Source organism: Homo sapiens, chromosome 2 (assembly GCF_000001405.40).
Source record: "Homo sapiens chromosome 2, GRCh38.p14 Primary Assembly".
Classification (NCBI taxonomy): domain Eukaryota; kingdom Metazoa; phylum Chordata; class Mammalia; order Primates; family Hominidae; genus Homo; species Homo sapiens.
In genome coordinates, this window is record NC_000002.12 from 113,498,006 (window position 1) to 113,517,112 (window position 19,107).

The window sequence follows — 19,107 nt, forward strand, 5'->3', positions numbered from 1 at the left end:
CTGAGGCGGGAGGATCACTTGAGCCCAGGAATTCAAAGCCAGCCTGTGCAACATAGACCCTGTCTCTAAAAATGAATTGGTTATAAAGGATGAAGAAAGGAAGGAGGAAAGGGAGAGAGAGAAGCCCTTATAGAGTGGGTGCATTTCTTGTATGTGGGGCCACTTTGTAAGAACAGGATTTTTCAAACTGGGCCCATACTGGTATGTGTGAAATCAATTTAGTTGGTTATGGCCATTTTTTTTTAAAAGGAAATATCAGTGATCACTATAGTGTAAGTATATTGTTTCGTGAAAGCCATCTTAGTTATGTATTATGTCTGTATGTGTAAGATTGTGATATAAAATGTATTTCTGTGGTTAAATATTCAAAGAAATTGGAGAACCATTGCTACAAGGGGACAGAGGACTCCGTGTGAGCTCTCCTGCCTTCCCTGAATAAACTTACACAATTTAGTGCTGGGACATTTGAACCTTTTCTGAAAATTTGAGTCAGGGGAGAGCATCTTGGGGAGGTGGGAAGGAAGGTAGAAGGAGCAAAGCAACACCCCCCTGAAGCCTGGGAATATTGTCAGAACCTTAAATATAATTCAGCTCACCATTCTGGGTAAGGACAGACTCTACCAATGAAAATGGGTGATTACCAGCTGTGAAACACAAAAACATACTTTTACGGTTACACATTCCTTTACAAACAACCGTGTACATTTCAGCCTCCTGCCCCACCATTTCTTTTCTCCAGGAGGGAAGGCTGCATGTCGAGATGGTCGTAGAATGTTGAGTATCCTACTTTCCTACCTCGCTTTTATTTGCGCGGGTTTAAATGCGCCTTAACAGAACCCGTGCAAAGGCTTGCCTACTTGTCTGGCTGCACCGGATGAGTAGAGCATCTTCCTTGGTGGCAGGTGGGTGCGAGGAGGAGGGGGCTGGGCTTTTCTCCGGACGGTGTTTGCCCAGAAGACCATCATCCCTGGACTACGTTAGGAGGAAGTGGCACCGCTCCGAGGTAGGGGAAGAAGGGTTATAAAGGGGGGAGTCCACCACACATGGTCTTGAAGAAGCTTTTATAAAAGGCAAAGGCATCTTTGCCGGACGTTGTTGCAAAGGAGTAGAAACAAGCAGAGGAAAACATCCCAAAGGGTAACCACTAGCGTTCCTGCTTCTTGCAACATTCATCCCAGGCTTCCAGCTCAGCCCGCCCCGGGCCAGGTGATCGGCCGCCACATCCCCTGCGACTGAAGCACCTGCTCCGCCATGAACCTGCCAAGAGCTGAGCGCCCTCGCTCCACACCGCAGCGCAGCCTCCGGGACTCCGATGGGGAAGACGGTAAAATCGATGTCCTGGGAGAGGAGGAAGATGAAGACGAGGTGGAAGACGAGGAGGAGGAGGCGAGCCAGAAGTTCCTAGAGCAGTCGCTCCAGCCGGGGCTGCAGGTGGCCCGGTGGGGCGGGGTTGCGCTTCCCCGAGAGCACATCGAGGGCGGCGGCCCGAGCGACCCCTCAGAGTTTGGCACCGAGTTCAGGGCACCGCCAAGGTCTGCGGCGGCCTCTGAAGATGCCCGGCAGCCGGCAAAGCCCCCCTACTCGTACATCGCGCTCATCACCATGGCCATCCTGCAAAGCCCGCACAAGCGCCTCACGCTCAGCGGCATCTGCGCCTTCATTAGTGGCCGCTTCCCCTACTACCGCCGCAAGTTCCCCGCCTGGCAGAACAGCATCCGCCACAACCTCTCGCTGAACGACTGCTTCGTCAAGATCCCCCGCGAGCCGGGCCACCCAGGCAAGGGCACCTACTGGAGCCTGGACCCCGCCTCCCAGGACATGTTCGACAATGGCAGCTTTCTCCGGCGTAGGAAGCGTTTCAAGCGCCACCAACTGACCCCGGGAGCCCACCTGCCCCACCCCTTCCCTCTACCTGCTGCACACGCCGCCCTGCACAACCCCCGCCCAGGCCCTCTGCTTGGGGCCCCTGCCCTGCCGCAGCCAGTCCCGGGGGCCTACCCCAACACCGCCCCCGGGAGACGCCCTTACGCTCTGCTGCACCCGCATCCTCCTCGCTACCTACTGCTCTCGGCCCCCGCCTATGCCGGGGCACCGAAGAAAGCAGAAGGCGCGGACCTGGCGACCCCCGGCACCCTTCCCGTGCTGCAGCCCTCACTTGGTCCTCAGCCTTGGGAGGAGGGCAAGGGTCTGGCGTCGCCACCGGGAGGCGGATGCATCTCTTTCAGCATTGAGAGTATCATGCAAGGGGTCAGGGGAGCGGGTACAGGGGCTGCGCAGAGTTTGTCCCCGACCGCGTGGAGCTACTGCCCCCTGCTCCAGCGACCGTCAAGCCTGTCGGACAATTTTGCAGCAACAGCAGCAGCATCAGGAGGAGGACTGCGCCAACGGCTGCGCTCCCACCAAGGGCGCGGTGCTGGGCGGGCACCTGTCGGCCGCGTCGGCGCTGCTGCGGTATCAGGCGGTGGCAGAGGGCTCTAGGCTGACATCGCTGGCTGCCCCTTTGGGCGGAGAGGGGACCTCACCAGTTTTTTTAGTATCGCCCACGCCCAGTTCCCTGGCCAAGTCCGCAGGGCCCTCCTAGAGCCAGGTGGGAGTGGGGAGCGATCCGCAGCTGCTCACTCCACCTTGCGCGGCCCATACTGGGCGTGTGCATCTGAATCCTGCTGGAGAGCAAACACGAACTTCTGTTCCCTGCAAAATGGTTAGAAAGAAACAGCTGGATTACGTTCCTCTAAAAACCACCTGAACGTAACCTTCGCAGGGCGTCAAGTCATCTTTTCTTGCCTTCGGCTGTGGCTTCTGTGGCTTTCCGGATTTGCACATTTCCTGGGGTACTATGAACGTGAGTGGGGTATTTTGTTCTGGCATTAGAAGAAAAACAAGCAAGCAAACAAAAACACAGCCTCCGATGCCAAACATGTTCCCCCTTCTTCACTTCCTTGGAACTGGAAGTGTTATTCCTAAGTCTAGTGCAAAATGCTTCTACTCTCTGTGTCTTCCTGATAGGGATGTTTAATGTAAGTAGGATATTAATTTCAGAACATTGATTTCTTATCTGTGTGTCTGACGTGCCATCTTTAATGTTAAAATTAAGGTGTTAAAATTAAGCCTAGTTATATAGACGAAATAAAATGCTAAGTCACTACACTACATCGTTATTTTCTATTACGTCTCATTCTTCCCTTTCTAAATGGAACTTTTTAAAACCTACATTATTTTCCCTCAAACAATTTATTTTCACAATTCATATTTATTATAGATAGCAGAAGTAATCCATTTTAATATGGCCTTTAAAAATTCCAAATATTTGAGGTTGAAAATGTCCTGGCTTTTAAAATAGGAAATTTACTATTTATGAGACTTCTAAAAGAAAAGAATAGGAGGGCATGTAAATATATTCTCCATTTATTTTTCCTCACCCCCCAACAAGCTGGAAAACCGTTTGAGATCAATTTGGAATGTAGTGGCCAACATGTACTCAGGGAAAATAAAAGGCTATAAATGTACATATATATATATATATATATATACATTTTTTAAGCACTAGAATTTTCAAAACTTATTTCTTAAAAAAAAAAAAACTCTGAAAAGACTTTGCAACTAGAAAGGTTTAAGTGTTACTCGGCGTCAGGGGACGGAGTGGGGGGAAACCAGACAAGAACGCCCATCATGAATTGCTCCCCACAAAGAAAACATATTTCTAGGAACTTGGCCGTTTTCCCCTGTCCCGAGTGGGGTTCCCGATTCCGTGCCGCTTTGAGGGAAGCTGCTCTGTGAATGTGAGAAAGTTTTTCCCCCAGCCCCCATCTACTCCCCACCCCCAGCTATGAATTTCTTATTTCAGGAGGGAGGACAAACATGGAGACACACATTTTTACAGGAGTCTAATTGGCCGATTTTTCTCCGGCTTCTCTTCTCCATCCCGTCTCTTGGAATTTCTTGGCATGCCCTACCTGAGATCCCCTACGGGAGATTTCCTCTTGGCTCCTGCGGTTCTGAGGACGTTCTGAAAAGTTCCCAAGCCCCACCTTTGGTAGCTGCCCAGACCCCAGCTTCCAATTCTTCCCTCTTCTTTGCACAGGCAGCCGTCCGCCCCACAGCCCCACCAGCGTCCAGAAGAGACCACTTTTAGCAAATCCGGCAGGGCTGGGGCAGTCTAAGAGTTTGGAAACAAACTGAGAATAGAGGGGTCCTATGTCATGCCAGCTTCTCGCTGGTTTACGCTCCAACTCCCCTCTGTCCGTTGTGCGAAAACGTCTCCAGGCCGACCTTCCTTCATTTATTGCCAACAAACGTCCTGGGAGAGCGGCTACAGCCGCTGAACCCAGAAGGGACTTTCTCTAGGCTTTCTTGGCACCCTCCCAATCATCTTCCTTCTCTTGCCCGAGGGCAGACCACCCGGCTACGAACGTGGGTGACTGAGGGTCAGGCCCCTTCCCGGAACCGCCTCCAAGCTCCTAATTTTTGCCTAATGTGAAACATATCCAAAGATGAATACTTAAACCATCAGTTCCGTGGCGGAGTAAATTGAACGTTGTTCTCCGATCAAACAGGAGCTTCGGGTCCACCTGTTTGGAAGCACCCAGGCGGCTTGGAGGGGTCCGGCCTTCGGGCGCGACCCGCAGGGGTTGCCTTGCCCGGCTCGCGGAACGGACGTTTACCCGTCGCAGCTACGAACCCACCAACGACACCAAGCACTGGCCGGGCAGACCAGGCGTCGTGGAGGCGCCCCAGCCCCGCAGCCCCCCGCAACGACGCGTCCCAGGGGTGCGCAGTGCTTGGCGCGGTGCCCGGACCCGGCCGCCTTCCCGACCGCGCAGAGCGAGAGGCCACACCCTGGATCCCAGGCCGGGTCCCTGCGGTTCTGGGAGGGAGGTCCCGGACGCCTCCCAGATCTCGGGCTTCTGTAACCCCGAGGCCGGGTTTTAAAATCACGGCTCTTCCGAGTTACACGAAGAGTCCGTGGTCAAGGGTCAAGGGCGGTCTTCGACCCTCGGGATCGTCTTCTTGAGAAATGGCTGAGAGCTAAGCCTAGAGCTGCCCAGGGAAGGAAGCCAAAGAGCTGGCGCCGAGCGCGGAGGGCTGGGAGGCGCGGGGAGGCCCCTTACCCGCCCCACTGTCCTGCCCGCCAATGACGCCGATGACAGTGACAGCGTCGGCCGAGTGCTTCCCCTGCTCCGGGTCGGCCAGGCACCGGGTCCTCCTTCAGCACTCGCAGCACGCACTGAAGAAGACGCTACGGAACTCTCCGTTTTCCAGACTCGGGGGAATTAGGAAACTCGCCCGGCGACCCTCGCGCAGTAGCACCGGGCCAGGTTTGCTTTCGGAACCGCTGACTGCACTCGCCGCCTTTCCCGCCTGGGCCTCTCGCGGGTCGCAGGGGTGGAAGCCCGACCTGGGCCAGGGCCCGGATTTCTTCCTCCCGGCCTCTGCGCCACCGCCCCCGGTGCAGGACGCGCTTTGCTCTCGCCGAGACCCAGACGCGCTGAAAGCCTCGCGCGGGCAGTTCCCCGCCCCACGCCCCGGGCTGCGCGTTCTCCCGCAAAGCCTCTGCCGAGTGCGCGCAACGGCGCCGCCGGACTCCCCGGGACCGCGCTCCCGCGCACGCCTGACCGGAGCACCCCGCTTCACGGGGGCGTTCTGCGCGTCCTTCCTCCCCGGTGCGATTTCCATTCTTTTTCCTCTCGCGGTCCCCAGGAGCCCAGGCACCCCTCGACTCCCCGGGACTCCCTGCGGGCCCGAAGCCGCCTTCCCGAGGCGGCGGAGTTGGGCAGCTCCGGGCCCCGCGCCGCCCCGCAGAGCCGGAGTTTCTCTCCGGAGTCTGGATACAGCTCTCCGCTTCGTCGCCGCGCACTGGACCCCGGTAGCGTGGAGCCTGCCCGGGAAGCTGGGCTGCGCCGGCCTGGGGCGAAGGTCCAAGGGGCGCGGGGGCCGGGACGCGGGGCTGTGGCAACGACCGGCCCTCTGCGAACGCTCGGGCCGGCGGGTCCGGGGCCACAGGCTGGGAGTGGAGCTGGCGGCCACTGGGGAGTAGAGAGGACGCCCAGGAACAGGTGCACCAGGGTCCCGGCGGCTGGGCCGAGGGTCGCAAGCAGAGGGGACCGGCGGCTGCCAGCAAGTCCCAAGCAGATGCCTCTGGCGGGGCAGCCGCATTCTACAGCGCCCATTCCGCGTACATCGAGTATCCAAAATGAGTAAAATCGGTTTATACGTTGGAATGTAGCTTATGATTCCAAAATCTCATCTCCAGGCTGCCTAGATCACACGGCCCCGTTTCATTCATTTTTACTTAATAACGGTCGTTGGACAATTTAGAGAAGCAGCAGAAACCACGAGAAAAACAGTGGAGTCAAACGGCGGTAAGGACTGACAAGGCTGGCGGGGACATTGAGCAAACGGCGGCTTCTGAGTTGGCACCAGTCCTTCACCACGTTGTGTGGGAAGTGTGGGGAGTCAGGATTCCCACTCCTCCCCAGCCTTCCGGAAAAATGCTCGGAAATTTCCTTCCACATTGACACCTGATTACAGTCTACATAGTAACCTTATTCTGATCGTTAATGTAACCTTCTCGTAATCTCTACAAAAATACTTTAGTTTTTCTAGCTGTGTTTTCATGTAATCACTGAAATTATTTTTAATTGGTTTTAAGCATTCATTGATTCCATATACACCACCTGCAAAAAAGTTACATAGGTGATCGCTAACAATACTAGAATTCGCCCCATCCAAAGGAAACATTAGAGTAGAAAAAGAAAAAGGATTTGAGAATCCAGTATGAAATTCAGTTAATCATTACTTCCCTGTTACTCAACTACCTTAACATTGTCAGGTTTACCTGAACATAAACTTCATTTTCTTAATTGTTCTTAGAACGAAGGGATATGTTTATTGAAATCAGTAATTAAGAATATTTTGGGACAGTTATGATTTACTTAGCCAGTGAAGCAGTTTCTATTCCCAAATCCAGGCAAAGAGAACAATAAGATTAAACGTAGCCTAAGAGATTTCCTTTTTGTCAAATAATGTGATTTTGCTATGTATAGAGGAGATGTCTATATGTAAGGGCATATTTATGACCAGTAGTTCCTAAAATTAAGGGGACTATTATTGTGTTACTCAAGGTATCAGTTGTATAGGATACATTATGTCATATTTCAAACAATGTTTATAAAGAGATTAGTATAATTAACCTGTATGTACTTCTCCTCTGGGCCAACCTTGTGTCTTCTTTGTCTGCTGACAGTCCCCTCCCCACTGAATTATTTTGAATCAAATCCCAGATAGTCTATCATTGTATTGTATTTTTGAATATTTCTCTAATAGATAATAATTCCATCAATGAGACTGGGTGCAGTGGCTCCTCCCTGTAATCCCAGCTCTTTGGGAGGCAGAGGTTGGAGGATCACTTTAGGCCAGGAGTTCAAGACCACCCTGAGCAACATAGCAAGACCCCATTTATAAAAAAGAATATTCCCATCAACGTAACCACAATACCATTATCACACCTAAATAATCCATTAATAGCATCGGTTTATCCAGGCAATATTTAAATATCTTCAATTGTCTAAAAACTTTTTGTTTAGTTGGTCGGTTTGAATTAGAATGCTAATAAGGGTTACGTATTGTGTTTGGTTGATATGGGCTATTATATCTCTTTTAGATTTCCTCAATCCTCTTTTTTTGTTTCCCTTGCATTTTTTATGGGAGAAACTGAACTGTTTGTTCTGAAGAAGCTGACATTCTGGACTTTGTAGCTGCAGGTAATAGTTTTTTGGCAAGATATTCCCAGGGATAAGGTCGTTTATTCAGACTTTTGAATATTGGCAAATAATAATATTGTTTGTAGAGGGAGAAGGATTAGTCAAGATATTTTGAAGAATCAACTATTGAAAAAACAAATTTTTATCAGAGTAAGCATGGATCTGGTAAAGATTATGTGAAATTTTCCTAAGTGCAAATACAATCTAAAATTGTAATGTCTTACAATTAAAAAATAGATTATTTTCCATATATTTATAGAAATATAAATGATCAATCAACTATTTCATTGACAATTTTAAATCTAGTTTTATCTTGAGGAGAATAAAGTTTTTTATATCTTTAGTATTTTAGTTGAAGATCCAAAGACATTTTATGTTAAAACTTTAGGTTTTATATTGTTTTGTGTTTTAAAACATAAAATCTAAAATGTGGTAATATCCATGAGGTGCAGAGAGAGTAATAGCACAAATTCTGTGTTCATGAAAATTCATTTTAGGATAACTTAATTAAAAGGACTCAGGATTTGAATGATATTAGATTAGACAGAAAAAAGTTCACTTGAGTGTAAGACATAAGTAATAAAAACCAAAGGTAGCTAACTTTTGTAGGCTTCTTTTTCTTTAACGAGTATGCATATGAAATAAAATTTCCATGTCCATGTCCATTTTTCCAAGGTACATAGGGCTTCTATAATTTCGTCTATTTCATCCTGCAGTTATTTTCACGGGTCTCTGTGTCCACCACTATCTGGAATCTCTGAGATGGTGAAAACGAAATCTTATTCTTCTTTATATTTCAAACAATTCCTAGCACATTATCAAAAATACCTGATAAAATTTATTGTGTCTGTAATACTGGTAAGCATGTAAAAGGGTGGTAAATATATAGGCTTTAAGTTTAGATAGATCTAAATATTATTAAAATTACCAAATTATTGTTTTTAAAAAGCATTAGTTTCCTAGGACAAATAGAGATTTTTAGATAAGGCTGGATTTGTAATACTTTAAGCAACAGGTCACAGTGCTTAAGTATTTAATGCCGATTTGGCAAGCAGCTGATGTTTTATATAATGCTGTCGGGTATTTTATATTTGCGTGTATTTTCTGATGCACTGGATCCAGCACTTCATGTCACGTCATATATCTGTTTATAATGTATACAAATGTATTTTCATATATATTTGATGTTTGATGGCTTTGAAACTTTAATCTTGAAATAGATTTTAAATTTTTATTAAAACTATTTAAATAATTACTGTAAGGAAAGAGCTCTTATTAGTTGAAAGAAAATGTAGATTCATGTTTCCTTGGAGACTAGTCTAGTTTCCAAGGATAGACGGCAGTGAGGAGTTGGGTATCTAGATGGAATTTCTGTTGGTTTGGATTCCAGCTCTGCTGCTTACCAGCTTTGTGACCTCAGGCAAACAACTTAACCTCTCCAAGCCTCAATTTCCCCATCTATATAATGGTGATATTTATAAGTTTCACCTTATAGGGCCATGGTGGGGATCACATGAAATAGTGTATGTGAAGTGCTTAGTACAGTGCCTGGCACATACTCAATGCTCTATGCATGTCAGCTAGTACTTAATGATGCTAATAAACATGTTATGTCCCTAAGCACGGGTGGGATCTTGCCTGACGTCCTTCTCTCTGCGTCCTGGTCAGTCTTCACATGGTGGGCATCCTTTATTTCCGGTCACACACGGGTGGTACACAGAGCGTGCTGTTTCTTCCCTGCCAGAAGGTTCCTGCTGCAGCTCTCCTGCTAGTTTAGCTTAGCCTTCTGGTTTGAGGGATGAGTCACATGTACCATCACTTCCCAGGACCAACAGGACCTTTCAGGAAAGCTATCCCTGCTTACACAGAGAATTGCCCTTGCCTAACACTGAAGCCTGGCAGAGTAACATGAAATAACCACAGCAATTCTAAAATTAGAATTAGCACGCCTAGAATAACAGGTATAACCTTCTCTTGTACTTTATCACTTGCTTCATTTCTGCTCAGCCTAATTTTCACTTGATGTGTAGATTTATTTTTTGTTCACCCATCCAGAAAATGTTGACTGAGGAATTACTCTGTGTTAGGCGCTGTTGTAGGAGCAAGGGATACAATGATGATCAAGGCAGATGCAGCCCTTACCTTCAGGTCGTGGAGTCCGGATACAGACTGGAGGCAGGCAGCTGTAAGATGTGTGACAAATGCTGCGCTGGATCAGCCCATGGTATTAGGAGAGCAGGTAAGGGAGGGTGGGGACGGGAGCGGACAACCTGGAGGAAGAGGCACCTAAGCAGAGTCCGGAAGGCTGAGGAGGAGTCAGCAGGTGAAAGAGAGGGGAATCATGACATGCCACCTCAACTGTAGGGCACGGCTAGCTGGCTGACTTAGCTGCTGTAACACCGGATTTTTGCAAGACTCCCTGAGTATTTCTCGTGGACTTGCGAACAAATCTGAGCAAGAAAACCACGTAATTTCTTTTATGCCCTGCCCAAGAAAGCCACCTGGAGGGGCAAGGGGACCTTAGCAGAAAGAAGCTGGAGGTGGGGGGAGAGCAGGGTGATGTTACTCTCCATATGGTGGGGGGTGGACACCTCCCTGTCACATGGCTCGTAATATCCAGCGGGGGAGAGGGGGCTGACTTTCCCCTACGTTGTTGGTAATATCACCCCCCTCTCTCCCGCTAAATATTAAGTACAATATCACAGGTGGGGCGTACACCCCCGGCGATGTTTGAAGTAATATCAACTTCTCCCCCTCTGGATGTTAGAAACAATATCACAGGGGGGTGTACACCCCCCTGCGATCCTGGGAGTAACATCATCCTCTTTCCCCCGGATATTAGGAACAATATCACAGAAGGTGTTTACAACTTTTGCAATGTTGGGAGTAATATCATCCTCTCTCACCCTAGATATTCAGAACAACATCACATGGGAATTGTACCCTTCTGTTTATTGAGAGTAATATCATCCTCTCCCTTTCTGTATATTAGAAACAATATCACAGAGGGCTGTGTACACCCCCAGGAATGCTTTGAGTAATATTATCCTCTCTCTGCCTGGATATTTGGAACAATATGACAGGAGTTGTGTACACCCACTGTGATATTTGGTTTAATATCAACCTCTATCCCCTGGATATTGGGAGTAATATCCATCTTTAGCCCCTGGATACTAGGGACAATATCACAGGAGGGGTGTATACACACGGCGCTATTGGGAGTAATATCATTTTCTCCACCCCCTGATATTAGGTACAATATAACAGTGGGGACGTGCACCCCCTGGGATATTGGGAGTAATATTAATCCCTTCCCCTGTGGATGTTAGGAACAATATCACAGAAGGGGTGTATACCCCCAGCGATATTGGGAGTAAGATCATCCTCTCCCAACTTGGATATTAGGAACAATATCACAGGGGAAGTGTATAACCCCTGCGATATTGTGAGTAATATCATCCTCTCCCAAAAGGGAGATTAGGAACAATATCACAAGAAAGGTGTACACCTCTTCTGATATTTGTGGTAATATCATCTCCTCCCCTCATTGATATTAGGAACGATATCACAAGGTGTGTACAGCCCCTGCGATATTGGGAGTAATATTATTCTCTCTTCCCCTGGATATTAGAAATAATATCACAGGCGGAGTGTACAGCCAACCCCCTGCGATATTGGGGGTAATATCATCCTCTTTTAAACTGGATATTAGGAACAATATCACAGGGGGCTTGTACACTTCTTTTGATACTGGGAGTAATATCATCCTCTCCACAAGTAAATAGTAGGAAAAATATCAAAGAAGGTGTGTACACCGCTTGTGATATTGGGAGTAATATCATCCTACCTCACCTGGATATTAGAAAAAATATCGGGGGGCGTTTACACCACCTGCGATATTGGGAGTAATATGATTTTCTACCCCAGTGGATATTTAGAACAATATCACAGGGGCAGTGTACACCCTCTGAGACATTGCGAGTAATATCGTTCTCACCCCGCCGCCCCCACCCCAGATGTTAGGAACAATATAACAGGCAGATTATACACCTGCCGCAACATTGAAAGTAATATCATCCTTTTCCCCCTGGATATTAGGAACAATATCTTATGGGGGGTTTACAGCCCATTCCATTTTGGGAGTAATAGCAACTTCTTCATTGCTGGAAATAAGAAACAACATAGCAGTTCTGGTGTACACACCCTGTGATATGGGCAGTAATATCATAGACTCTCCCCCGGCGTATTAGGAACAATATCAAAAAGGGGTGTATACCCACAGCGATTTTGGGATTAATATCATACTCTCCCCCCTGGATATTAGGAACCATATCAAAGAAGGAGTGTCTACCCCTTGCGATAGTGACAGTAATATCATCCTCTCCCTCCCTGGATATTAAGAACAATAAAACAGAATTGGTGTACACCCCCTGCGATATTGGGGGTAATATCTTCCCCTCCCCCGCTGGCTATTAGGGACAGTGTCACAGAAGGGGTGTCCACTCCCTGCTATATTGGGAGTGAGATCTTCCTCTCCGTCCCTGGATATTAGGAACAATATCCCTAGGGAGTGTACACCTCCTGCAATAGTGAGACTAACATCATCCTCTCGCCCCCTGGATATTAGGATCAATATCTCAGGGGTGGTGTACATCCCCTGCGAAACTGGAAGAAATATCATCCTCTCCACCTTTGGACGTTAGGGACAGTATCACGGGGGAGGTCTACGCCCCCTGCGACATTGGGAGTCATATCATCCGCTCCCACCCAGGATATTAGGAAAAAAGATGACCGAAGGGGTGTATACCCACTGCGATATTTTTCATAATGTCATCCTCTACTCCCTGGCAATTACGAATAACATCATAGAGGGGTGTACACTTTCTGTGATATTGGGAGTAACATCCTCTACCCCTCGGATATCGGGAACAATTATATTAAGTATTAATATTCATAAATATAATAACAATTAATAGAAATCATCGATATAAATAATTACTATAAAGATAGTAAAAGTTAATACGGATTAAAAATATTAATGGTTACTATTAATAATAGCAACCTCACTATTAATTATAACAATATCGGTAATTAATGTTACTTAATTAAATCAATACGTGATGTTGGTAATAAAACAATAATTAAGATTAATAACTAATATTGAAAAATGACAATACTAATAATTAATTTTAATCATGCATAATCATATTTAAAAATCATTAATGATTAGTAAAGTTATACTATTAATATTACCATTGATAATTATTAAGACTGATGTTTAATAATTAGTAATATTATTAAGACTGATGCTTAATAATTAATCATATTATTTCTCCTAATACCGTAGGGGGTGTACACCTACCTGTGATATTGTTCCTAATATCCAGGGATGGAGAGCATGATATTAGTTTTAATATCTCAGTAGGTGTACACTCACCCTGTGACACTGATCCTAATATCCAGGGAGTAGAGTATGACATGACTCCCAACATAGCAATGAATGTACAGCCACCCGGTGATATTGCTCCTAATATTCACGGAAGAAGCGTAGGATATTACTTCCAAAATCGCAGGGAGTGTACACCTCTTCTGTGATATTGTTCCTGGTATCCCGAGGGGGAGAGGATGATAATAATTCCAGTATCGCAGGCTGTGATCACCCACCCTGTGATATTGTTATTAACATCCTGAAAGGGAGAGGATGATATTACTCCCCGTAATAGATAGATATTACTCCCCATAACAGCGCAGGAGGTGTACACCCACCCTGTGATATTGTTCCTAATATTCAGAGGCCGAGAGGTCGATATTACTCTCAATATGGCAGGAAGTGTACACCCCCGTGTGAGATGGTCCTTAATAATATTCCAAGGCGGAGGGGGAGATATTACTCCCAATATCGCAGAAAGTGTACCCCCCCAGGGATATTGTTCTCATGATCCTGGAGGGAAGAGGATGATATTAGTTTAAATATGACAGAAGGTGTACACGCCCCCACTGATACTGTTTCTAATTTCAGTGTGGGAGAGGAGGATATGACACCCAATATCGCAGGGAGTAGAAACACACCTGTGATACGGTTCTTAATATTCAGGGTGGAAGAGGATGATATTACTCCCAATACAGACGGGTGTACAACCTCTGCACACCGAGGGTGTACACCCATCTGTCAAACAGCACATAATTTCCAGAGGGGGAGATATTACCCCCAATATAGTAAACAGGCTGTGAGTCCACCGTGGATCGTAATCACTCGCGGGGGAGAGGAGGTGGCTCTTACTCCCCATATCGCGGGGGGTGCCTCCACCCCTTCCGATGGGGGTCCCAAGACCCAGGGAGGGGAGAGGGGCTGGCTCTCAGTCTCCGCCTCGCGAGGTACCTCCCCACCTTGCGATCGGGGTCCCAAGAGCCAGGGGGGAAGAGGGGCTGGCTCTCTTTGTGGATGATTCTTTTTCCATTCTCAGGCAGTTTTCTTTTTTCTTTCTTTTTTTTTTTTTGGAGGCTGAGTCTTGCTCTGTTGCCCATGCTTTGCTGGATCTCGGGTGACTGCAACCACTGCCTCCCAGGTTCAAGAGATTCTCCTGCCTCAGCCTCCTGAGTAGCTGGGACTAGAGGCGTGTGTCACCACACCCAGCTAAGTTTTGTATTTTTAGTAGAGATGGGGTTTCACCATGTTTGCCAGGATGGTCTCTATCTCCTGACCTTGTGATCCACCCACCTCAGCCTCCCAAAGTGCTGGGATTGCAGGTGGGAGCCACCGGGTCCAGCCTCTCCGGCGATTTTCATACCTGCATACTCTGATCACTACTCTGTTAAACAGTCAAGGAGGGTAAGTATTATCTTCAGATTTCCAGAGCTCTGTCTCTGTACAGCCCTCTCCTCCTCAATATTCTGCCCTATGAATTCTAGCCACATTGGCCTTCCCAGACTCACAGTTCTGTCTTCTCAACTCAGGAAGATCTCTGAGCTCCATCTGCATTCTTTCTTCCTGTGCTGTGGCCTGGAAAGTTTTCTAAGGTGTTTGGGAGGTCAATTGTGGGGCTAGCCTCATTTGTTTCTCATCTCTTGAGGATCACTGCCCTTTGATGCTTGATTCCAGTGATTGATTCCCTTTGTTGCTTGAGGGCCATAGTTTCATATATTTTGTCCAGTATTTTTGTTGTTTTAGGTCAGAAAGTAATTTTGGTCTCTGTTACTCCATCTTGGCCAGAAGTGTAAGACCTAAGCATTTACACATCAAAATACTGCACACATAATTTTAGTTTAAGCTACCTTTAAAAAAATCTGCTTCATTTTCCATTAAGCATTCTATTTAGGGTATTACATTGGTTTTTTTGAAATTCTGTTATTGGCAGTTTCTATTGCCTATCAATCCCATTTAAAGATAGTGCATAGGGTATTCTAAAATAGCTGTTAAGCAAAGAGAAAATTGGGCCTGATAGGGTGAGAATCACAGCTCTAATACCTAGAGTGACCTTATAATGTATTGTCCAAAGGAGATATTTTTGACAGTGAAAGAGGGTGTTGTTAGTAATTATATCAGGACCATGGCCTAAACCAGGACTATCCCAGGCAGCCTGGGACATATTTGTACCCCATCTCTATTTAATGCCTTTATACAATTCTTTACTTAATTCTACCAGCCTTTATTGAGCCTGCTTTCTTTGTCTAGCTGAGTGCCACGTGCTGACGTCACTAAGATCAATACAGCAAACTCTGAAAGATGGACAGAGAGACAGGAGATGGTCCTTTATAATGCAGTGTGATCTGTGCTGCAATAGAGGTGAGCACAGGGGCCTTACGAAGGCTCAGTGAAGAGCATGCTTGACTGCAGGGGAGGGTGCTTAGGTTAGAAAAGATGAGTCGAAGTATGTTCATAGGGAGCATGGGATGAGAGGTGGTGGGAAAGGTATTCCAGACAGTGTGTGTCAAGGCCAAGAGCCAGGGGAACACAGGTAGGGCTTTTTTTTTTTCTTCTAAGATGGAAGAGTGTTCTGATCAGCTGGAAAACAACGCACATGGGAAGCTGTACAGAAATGAGTGGGGAAAGGTAATACTTAACAGCAACAACAGTTAATATTTAGTGCCCACTTACGACATGCTGGACACAGTTCCGGGTGCTCTGAACATATTCGCTCATTTAATCTTTACAACAACCCTATGAGGTAGGTACTATGATTATCCCCATTTTCAGGTGAGGAATCTGAGGCACAGAGAGAGTAAGTATGTTGCCCAGGGCCACGCACCAAGTATGTGGTAGGTCCTGGAGTTGAATGCAGAGCCCCTCCACTCTAAACTCCTGAAAGCCAGATGCTACAAGGCGTTGTTATTCCAAGTGGAGGAATGCTAAGGGCATCATCCTGCAGGTGACCAGGAAACCCTGAAGCATTCGAAGCAGGGGAATGGCTTAAAACAAGGTGGTATAAGAAAGTGCTCCCAGAGCAGCATGAAAGTCTGGTGTAGTGGAGGTCTCCGCTAGCCACAAGAGGTGGTAAGAGGCTGAGCTGAAGCAGCTGCAGCAGGGATGCAGAGGATACATTCCCCAAACCATAATGGGCAGAGTCCTTTGGCTTCAGTGACCACAGCCAAGGGTGCAGAGGAGAAGCCCAAGAAGATGCCAGGTGTCTGGCTTATGCCCCTGTGTGAACGTGAAGCCTCTCATTGACATGCAGGTTACAGGAGGAAAAGCAGGTTTATTTGGGAAGGAGGCTTCTAGACCATGACTTCCATTTTAGCCATGTAGTTTTTGAAGTGCTTGTACAAGTTCTAGGTGGAAATGTCCAGGAGGCAGTGGGGAACTCAAAGTAGATCTCAGGAGAGAGGCTTAGGCCAGAGGGCTTGGGGAATCATCAGCATGGGGGTGGGAGGAGAGCTGGTATTTGGATGAGATTGCAGTGGAGCATGAACAGAGTGGGAAAAGGTGGTGATGAACCCAGGGACTCCAGTATGCGGTAGCTGGCTGTGAGATTAGGAAGCAATGAAGGAGGCCGAGAAGGATGTCGGGGAGAAGCATCAATAAGGAATAAATGAGTTGCACGTGCTCCAGAGAGGCCAAATAAAGACTGGATTTGGCTCTCGCGGGTCATACACGAAAGAATCTTGGAACCAAAAGGAAAACGGTGGTGGTTTCAAGGGTATATTCTGTTTCTAGGTCTGCTGTCACAAAATACCAGAAACTGGGTGTCTTGTTAAAACAACAGACATTTTTTCTCTCACAGTTTTGGAAGCTAGAAGTTCAAAACGAGGTGTTGGCAGCACCATGCTCTCTCTGAAGATGCTAGGAAGAATCTGCTCCATGCCTTTCCATTCGCTCCTGGGGTTTCCTGCAAGCCCTGACATTCCTTGGCTTGTAGATACACCACCCCAGTTTCCGCCCCCATCATCACATGGCCTCCTCTCTGTGGGTGCCTCTGCGTTCCCTCTATTCTTCTTCTAAGGACACCGACACCAGTCATAGTGGATTAAGGGTCCACTCCTAACTAATTACATCTGCAACCACCCTATTTCCAAATAAAGTCACATTCTAAGATTCCTAGGGAGAACATGAAGTTTTGGGGGTGTGTGGATACTGTTCAACCTGGGACATGGAGTAAATAAATGGCAAGAAAGATTACAGATGACTTTAAGCTAAAGAGGGAGATAGGGTTAAATGTAGGACTTTTTTTTTTTTCCAGGACGGGAGAGGTTTAAACATGTTACTACATTGAATAAATGAAATAACCATGGACATGGAGTGGCTAAAGATTCTGAACTAAGTGCAAATAGTTGATAGCGCAAGCTCCCAAGGGGCTGGGGCCTGGAGCGCAGATGGATGGATCCACTGTGGGCAGAACTGGGCCGTGGGAGGGGTGTGCCGATGCAGATGTGTTTGAGTGTGGGGGGCCAGAAGCTGACTGGGGCGAAGCGTGACAGTGCAGCTCCAAGCACGCTGGAGGTGTTCACCAAGCAACTCAAGAGCAGATGGCAGAACGAGCAGCTGAAATAACAGCTTGTGAAATCAACCCTACTTTGTGGGGAGAGGATTGGTTAAGGATTCTAGCCATGAGAACCAAGAAGAGGAGGATAATCTGTTCATGCCTATTATGGGGCTTTGGGGGAGCAGTTTCAGCCTCAACCTGGAGAATGTTTTAGAAGGCCAGAGAAAGGAACCCTGCAAATCATGTGAGCTGGCCCCTCACTTTCAGATGAAGTGTCCATACAGCAGTAACGCCACCCTCTGTAGTGGTTCTAGAGTGTGGCAATCTGGAGGGGTCATTATGGAAAAGGGCTGAAGCATAAGAATGTAGGCCCAATACTGAGATAGAAAGAGGATTCTCTGAGATGACTTAGGCAGGGTGATGGTGGTGGAGGTGGGTGTAAGAAGCCCTCTGCTGCCTCAGTCCGAGCATGGAGTTCAATTGGTCAAGAGCAGAGCCAATCACCATTTAGGCCCTCTTGTTAGCCTTAATTTATTCCTCGGGTATGGAGAAGACTCCTCAAGATGCATTCAGAGTGCAAGCTCCCTCTTCCGCAGCAGAGGACTGCCCTGCAGGTTTGCAGTTCTGTCATTTGGAAACTCCCTGATGTGTCCCTTGGCTCTTCCCATTCTTTTGCTTCAACACATTTTAAGACCAGGCACCTTAACTGCAGAAACAGCATGAAAAACAAGTAGGTTTCAGGAAAAATTATCCCAAGTGGAGTCTCTACTGTGCTCTGTTTATCAGATGTAAAGCTTAAAACAGTGTAAGAGTTTTTACAGAGTGTATTCATATCACACCAGTTTTGGGTCCATAGACCGGGGCTTTTTCTAGATCAAACCGTTCAATTGTCCTGTTGATCCTGGCCTACAATCTGAGTGGATAAAAAATATTTTAGGAGAGATGAGATTCTAACCCTCAATGGCAAAAAGCAGGGCTGAGCCCTAAGCCCACGTTTTTACACATATTTTACAATTGAATGTGTTGCACTACCGCTAGAACACTAGTTCTCAACCAGGGGCGATTTTGCTTTCCAGGGGACATTGGCAATGTCTGGAGACATTTTTTTTTCCATTTTCAAAAATTGTGGCAAAGCACATAACATAAAATTAGCCATCTGAACCATTTTCATGTGTATAGTTCAGTGGCACTAAGCACCTTCACACTGATGTGCAACCATCACCACCATCCATCCATAGAACTCTTTTCATTTTGCAAAACTGTAACTCTGTACCCATTAAACACTAACTCGCCATTTCTCTCTTCTCCCAGCCCCTGACAACCATCATTTGACTTTCTGTCTCCATGATTTTGACTACTCTAGGTACCTCAAATAAGTGGAATCATACTGTTGAGGGATTTTTGATGGTCACAACTTGGGATGGGGTGCT

At 46.9% G+C, this 19,107-nt stretch overlaps 1 protein-coding gene and 1 long non-coding RNA gene across 5 annotated transcripts, besides 2 other annotated features; both read left to right on the forward strand.

The window, feature by feature from the left end:
* The first annotated feature begins 659 nt into the window (after window positions 1-659).
* FOXD4L1 (forkhead box D4 like 1) lies at window positions 660-3,145 on the forward strand. Its single transcript, NM_012184.5, has one exon. It carries the CDS (start codon window positions 1,252-1,254, stop codon window positions 2,476-2,478), a length of 1,227 nt encoding a protein of 408 aa, NP_036316.1. The 5' UTR covers window positions 660-1,251; the 3' UTR covers window positions 2,479-3,145.
* Window positions 1,873-2,410: an enhancer, noted in NCBI's record as "H3K27ac-H3K4me1 hESC enhancer chr2:114257455-114257992 (GRCh37/hg19 assembly coordinates)". NCBI's record gives its function as "activates a minimal SCP1, AML or CMV promoter by ChIP-STARR-seq in naive H9 embryonic stem cells {active_cell/tissue: H9 hESC(naive)}" and the evidence as "EXISTENCE:reporter gene assay evidence [ECO:0000049][PMID:30033119]".
* Window positions 2,411-2,946: an enhancer, noted in NCBI's record as "H3K27ac-H3K4me1 hESC enhancer chr2:114257993-114258528 (GRCh37/hg19 assembly coordinates)". NCBI's record gives its function as "activates a minimal SCP1, AML or CMV promoter by ChIP-STARR-seq in naive H9 embryonic stem cells {active_cell/tissue: H9 hESC(naive)}" and the evidence as "EXISTENCE:reporter gene assay evidence [ECO:0000049][PMID:30033119]".
* A 10,973-nt stretch (window positions 3,146-14,118) lies between the features above and the next one.
* LINC01961 (long intergenic non-protein coding RNA 1961) lies at window positions 14,119-17,289 on the forward strand. 4 transcript variants are annotated; one of them, NR_187134.1, is made up of 4 exons: window positions 14,119-14,589; window positions 15,433-15,543; window positions 15,742-15,810; window positions 16,979-17,289. It is a non-coding gene; the product is annotated as a long intergenic non-protein coding RNA 1961 (long non-coding RNA). The 4 variants fall into 4 exon arrangements; NR_187131.1 differs by having other exon boundaries at window positions 14,119-15,543; NR_187133.1 differs by lacking the exon at window positions 15,742-15,810.
* The last annotated feature ends 1,818 nt before the right edge of the window (window positions 17,290-19,107 follow it).